This window comes from Homo sapiens, chromosome 8 (assembly GCF_000001405.40).
Source record: "Homo sapiens chromosome 8, GRCh38.p14 Primary Assembly".
Taxonomy (NCBI): Eukaryota; Metazoa; Chordata; class Mammalia; order Primates; family Hominidae; genus Homo; species Homo sapiens.
Window position 1 is genome coordinate 119242707 of NC_000008.11, and position 6000 is coordinate 119248706.

The window sequence follows — 6000 nt, forward strand, 5'->3', positions numbered from 1 at the left end:
ATCCCTGTGCTAAACCCACAACATTTATCAAACATTTATCATGTTGAACTGCTTTTGCTTTGTCTTTTAGTCTTCTATGGATCATAAGCCCCAAAAGGGTGAGGACATTATCTACTGTTTGTTTATATGTACCAAGTATAGTGATATACACACAGTTGGTGCTGAAGAAATTCTCATTAATTCCAAGTAGAGTGCAGATTTGTACACAGGACTGTCTCCCATACAAGAGCAAGCCAACCTGATAATTCATTTCCACTTGTCTTAGTTGAGTTTTAAAGTTACCTTCCATCATCATAGAAATTATTTGATGCATCCTCAGGTTCTGATAGTTGCTGGCTTCCTTGGCTGTGAAGCCACTACATGAACAGAACTTCATGCTGAATTTTTAAATACAGTGCTTAGGGATTCACAAATACTTAAGTGAGCCCAGAATGTGAACAGATTGAACAAATGTTCAGTGTAAAGTTGTCCACAAATGAGAAAATTATTAGGAGCTAAAATGTTTAAAGGAAGGGGGGAGGGTAATTGTATGAGGGAATAAAACAGTTGTACAAATCATCAAAAAAAAAAAAACAATGTAAAATATTTTTGTAAGTGTCGAAGTATCTTTAGGTAGATTGTTGGTCAAACTTCATATGGTTGTTCTTTAGGACACTGTTTATAAGTCGGTGTTGTAAATCTGATGTGAATTTTTGTTTCTTTTTTCTTAGATTTTTGCCTTTATGACGACAGCTTGTTATGGTTGCAGTTTGGGTCTGGCTTTACGAAGATGGCGACCGTAACACTCCTTAGAAACTGGCAGTCGTATGTTAGTTTCACTTGTCTACTTTATATGTCTGATCAATTTGGATACCATTTTGTCCAGATGCAAAAACATTCCAAAAGTAATGTGTTTAGTAGAGAGAGACTCTAAGCTCAAGTTCTGGTTTATTTCATGGATGGAATGTTAATTTTATTATGATATTAAAGAAATGGCCTTTTATTTTACATCTCTCCCCTTTTTCCCTTTCCCCCTTTATTTTCCTCCTTTTCTTTCTGAAAGTTTCCTTTTATGTCCATAAAATACAAATATATTGTTCATAAAAAATTAGTATCCCTTTTGTTTGGTTGCTGAGTCACCTGAACCTTAATTTTAATTGGTAATTACAGCCCCTAAAAAAAACACATTTCAAATAGGCTTCCCACTAAACTCTATATTTTAGTGTAAACCAGGAATTGGCACACTTTTTTTAGAATGGGCCAGATGGTAAATATTTATGCTTCACGGTCCATACAGTCTCTGTCACAACTATTCAGTTCTGCTAGTATAGCGTGAAAGCAGCTATACACAATACAGAAATGAATGAGTGTGGTTATGTTCTAATAAAACTTATTTATAAAAACAAGGGGAGGCTGGGTTTAGCCTGTGGGCCATAGTTTGTCAACCACTGGTGTAAAACCTTAGTTATATATGATCTGCATTTTCTTGAACTGATCATTGAAAACTTATAAACCTAACAGAAAAGCCACATAATATTTAGTGTCATTATGCAATAATCACATTGCCTTTGTGTTAATAGTCAAATACTTACCTTTGGAGAATACTTACCTTTGGAGGAATGTATAAAATTTCTCAGGCAGAGTCCTGGATATAGGAAAAAGTAATTTATGAAGTAAACTTCAGTTGCTTAATCAAACTAATGATAGTCTAACAACTGAGCAAGATCCTCATCTGAGAGTGCTTAAAATGGGATCCCCAGAGACCATTAACCAATACTGGAACTGGTATCTAGCTACTGATGTCTTACTTTGAGTTTATTTATGCTTCAGAATACAGTTGTTTGCCCTGTGCATGAATATACCCATATTTGTGTGTGGATATGTGAAGCTTTTCCAAATAGAGCTCTCAGAAGAATTAAGTTTTTACTTCTAATTATTTTGCATTACTTTGAGTTAAATTTGAATAGAGTATTAAATATAAAGTTGTAGATTCTTATGTGTTTTTGTATTAGCCCAGACATCTGTAATGTTTTTGCACTGGTGACAGACAAAATCTGTTTTAAAATCATATCCAGCACAAAAACTATTTCTGGCTGAATAGCACAGAAAAGTATTTTAACCTACCTGTAGAGATCCTCGTCATGGAAAGGTGCCAAACTGTTTTGAATGGAAGGACAAGTAAGAGTGAGGCCACAGTTCCCACCACACGAGGGCTTTTGTATTGTTCTACTTTTTCAGCCCTTTACTTTCTGGCTGAAGCATCCCCTTGGAGTGCCATGTATAAGTTGGGCTATTAGAGTTCATGGAACATAGAACAACCATGAATGAGTGGCATGATCCGTGCTTAATGATCAAGTGTTACTTATCTAATAATCCTCTAGAAAGAACCCTGTTAGATCTTGGTTTGTGATAAAAATATAAAGACAGAAGACATGAGGAAAAACAAAAGGTTTGAGGAAATCAGGCATATGACTTTATACTTAACATCAGATCTTTTCTATAATATCCTACTACTTTGGTTTTCCTAGCTCCATACCACACACCTAAACCTGTATTATGAATTACATATTACAAAGTCATAAATGTGCCATATGGATATACAGTACATTCTAGTTGGAATCGTTTACTCTGCTAGAATTTAGGTGTGAGATTTTTTGTTTCCCAGGTATAGCAGGCTTATGTTTGGTGGCATTAAATTGGTTTCTTTAAAATGCTTTGGTGGCACTTTTGTAAACAGATTGCTTCTAGATTGTTACAAACCAAGCCTAAGACACATCTGTGAATACTTAGATTTGTAGCTTAATCACATTCTAGACTTGTGAGTTGAATGACAAAGCAGTTGAACAAAAATTATGGCATTTAAGAATTTAACATGTCTTAGCTGTAAAAATGAGAAAGTGTTGGTTGGTTTTAAAATCTGGTAACTCCATGATGAAAAGAAATTTATTTTATACGTGTTATGTCTCTAATAAAGTATTCATTTGATAATCTTTGTGGTCATCTTTTACACCATTCACTTTGAAATTCAGTTAAAGGTTTGATATAAATTTGGCAGAGCTTATAGAATTATAATGTATAAAAAGTTCTGTTTTAAACATTTCTGTGTAAAAGTCTCTCAGGAATTGTCAGTAAGTCTTTTTTCTTTGATGAAGGTGAAAGAGGCAAGTCTTTGGAAGTAACGTTGCAAAGGAAGTTTAAATGAGAATTCTGTTTTGCCGAGTGTGATGACTTATGCCAGTATTCCCAATACTTTGGGAAGCCGAGGCAGAAGGATCACTTGACACTAGGAATTCAGGACCAACCTGGGCAATATAGCAAGACCTCATCTCTACAAAATAATTTAAAAATTAGCTGGGTGCATGTGGCACGTGCCTCTAGTCCCAGCTACTTGGGAAACTGAGGTGGGAGGATTGCTTTAGCCCAGGATGTTGAGGCTCCAACCTGGGTGACAGAGTGAGACCCTGTCTCACACACACACAAAAAAAACCACTATCCATGCTAAAAAGAATTGTTTTATTTAAAAAGCATTCATTTATACCATGTTTTATATGTTTCAGGCATTTTTTTCACATATTCATTTATTTCTCATCATAACAACCCTATGAGGTGTATACTCTTATCCCATTTTAAAGGCTTGGAGACTAAAAAACCTTAAGAAACACCCAGTGCTGCCTGCCTAGCAGGTGAGAAAGCTGGGACTTAAACCCCAACAGTCTGACTCCGAAGTGCAGACTCTTAATTTCTGTTTGCCTCAGTTCACCCAGATTTTATATCTATATCCAAAAATGTGATCTTTTCTTCACCCAGAGAAGTTTTAGCAGAATGTTTAACATCATAGTTATTGTAAGTGTCATATCTTAGAACATTTTTGTCATAACCAAGGACTCATGATTTTAGCTGTAAGAATTTAAGCCAAACCTGCATGATGGAGAAAAGGTTAGGCCACTTGCCTCTAGAACGGTCCCTGAGTGCTTGTCTACCTGAGTGTTTTTCCGCTTTGTCACTTCTGGCATGAACTATGGGGGCTTTGGTCTGCTGTATTACCTTACATTGAGTCAGCCTTTTCCCAAATTATCCAGCCTTCCAGGGATGTCTGGAACTGACTTCAGAAAGGTCTTCCAGTCTGAGAGATGCCATTCGATCTTGAGCATGGACTATGAATTTCCACCTCTGAATACTCTAGAATCTGGAACTCTGGATCACTGTCATGAAGGTTCTATCATTAACAACATGCCTGAAGTTTGTTAATTGGTGAATCAGTGTCTCAGGTGTCAGCTTAATGTATTCATCAGGCAGGGGTCCAGAGTATGGGGATAGCAATGATCTTTAACCTATCTATGCCTAGTGTTCCATTATTGGAACATTAAGCTTGTGGGAGTTATTTATATCCTACTGCTCAAGGTCATCGCCAAGGTCTGATTTTTCACAAAAAACACTTGCAACCTCTGGCAAAAATTGGTTATAATATGTTTAATGTTTTGAATGTCCAGCTTTGTAACAAAAAAGGACGTTAGTTATACTTTTATTAGGCTGTGCCCCTAGCAAAAGGACAATCCTAGTTCCTCTCTCTGGAGCACTTTTTTCTCAAGTTACCTACAGAGCTGGCTTTCTCACCCTCTTTGGGTCTTTGCTTAGTCATCACCTTTACAGTGAGGTCCTACCTCAGAACCACATTTAATCTTGAATCTCACACTAGCACTCCCTGTTCTCCTTTTCTACATTTTTCTCCATAGCTCTTAGGACATACTTTATGTATAGTGTATATGCATATAGCATTAATTTATTATATTTGTCCTCTTCTCCACTAGAATGGAAGGCTTGTGTTTTGTTAATTTTAGACAGCAGGTTTTAACAGTTGTCTCCATTTTTGAGCATACATAGTTTATGCATGTGGAATATATGAACTGGTGTCCGCCTATTTTAAGTATTTGGTTGGTTCAAAAGTAATTGTGGTTTTTGCTATTGAATGTAATGGCAAAAGCTGCAATTCCTTTTGCACCAACCTATTAGTAAAAGTTTAATTTTATGTTCACAAAATAGTTAAAATATTTCCTTTGTCACTCTGTGTATTATCTTGCATATTTCTTTAAGTACACATACTCCATTTTAGAGGCCATAGGAATAGAATATTGGCTTGGAGGGCATAAAACTGGACTATCTCCTTTGCTGTTTTGATGGATGTGTCTAACACAGGCTGGCAGCCATAAGCATTGAAATTGGTTTCTCAGTAAGACGATAGGTACTCCATTTCTTCAGAATGACTACATTGACTAAATCTCAAAAATTAACTCTTGGCCAAATATGCTTTCATAGAACAAACAAATTCTCAACAAAAAAAAAATGTGATATTATGTACTTTTCCAGTGTGGGATAACTAAGTTGACCAGACTTAGTCTTGTTTTTTATTTTAAATTTAATAGTTAGTTATACTTTCAATGTGAATTAGGGAATTATAACTTGCACATCAATTGCGTGATTTCATGGATATTATTCAGTATGAGAATAAGTATTGTGAAAAAATAGTCCATTTAACATTTGTGGGACCTGAGGTGAGCCACTTAATTTATTCAAGCCTAAGTTATCATCTACCAGTGATGATGATGCAAGTCTGGGAGAGGAGGTCCTTTGGAAAGAAGAAGCCAAGATGCAGTTCAAAGTACGAGATGTTTGTTGGAGATAATGCCTATAAAATATAAAGAGGAGAGAGAGCACAAGCAGGAAAAAAAATATTTCTGCCCCTGATATAGGTTTGACTCACATGAAAGGAGAAGTAAGATTAGGTAGGAAGAGCCTCAGACTGTGCTCATTCTGAGAAAGTCTCAACCAATTTAGCAGTGAGCTCCAACACCAAGACTGCCCATAGAGGAGGAGTCTCACACTAGCTGGAAACGATGAGCCCTGATACCAACACCATGTGCAGTCATTGCCTGTGGACTGCCCAGAATGAATGGCCTCAGCTCATTGGTGTGGACACTGAAGGAAGATCCTGAGGGTATCTGCAACTGGTGCTGTCAGATAACT

The 6000-nt window shown here is 36.4% G+C and overlaps 1 protein-coding gene and 1 long non-coding RNA gene across 6 annotated transcripts in view; one reads left to right on the forward strand and one right to left on the reverse strand.

The window, feature by feature from the left end:
* MAL2 (mal, T cell differentiation protein 2) overlaps window positions 1-2967 on the forward strand; it is a 37311-nt gene extending 34344 nt beyond the window's left edge. For both annotated transcript variants that reach the window (NM_052886.3, XM_011516807.3), the window contains one exon: window positions 711-2967. In NM_052886.3, coding sequence (NP_443118.1) covers window positions 711-782 — 72 coding nt within the window. In that variant the 3' untranslated portion in view covers window positions 783-2967. The remainder of the gene's footprint in view (window positions 1-710) is intronic.
* MAL2-AS1 (MAL2 antisense RNA 1) overlaps window positions 1-4151 on the reverse strand; it is a 32235-nt gene extending 28084 nt beyond the window's left edge. For 3 of the 4 annotated variants that reach the window (NR_149112.1, NR_149111.1, NR_149113.1), the window contains exon 1: window positions 4024-4151. This is a non-coding gene — a long non-coding RNA (MAL2 antisense RNA 1). Of the gene's footprint in view, window positions 1-1588; window positions 1625-2103; window positions 2137-4023 lie in introns of all 4 variants that reach the window. The other variant, NR_149114.1, reaches the window with a different exon arrangement.
* Window positions 4152-6000: the final 1849 nt, after the last annotated feature.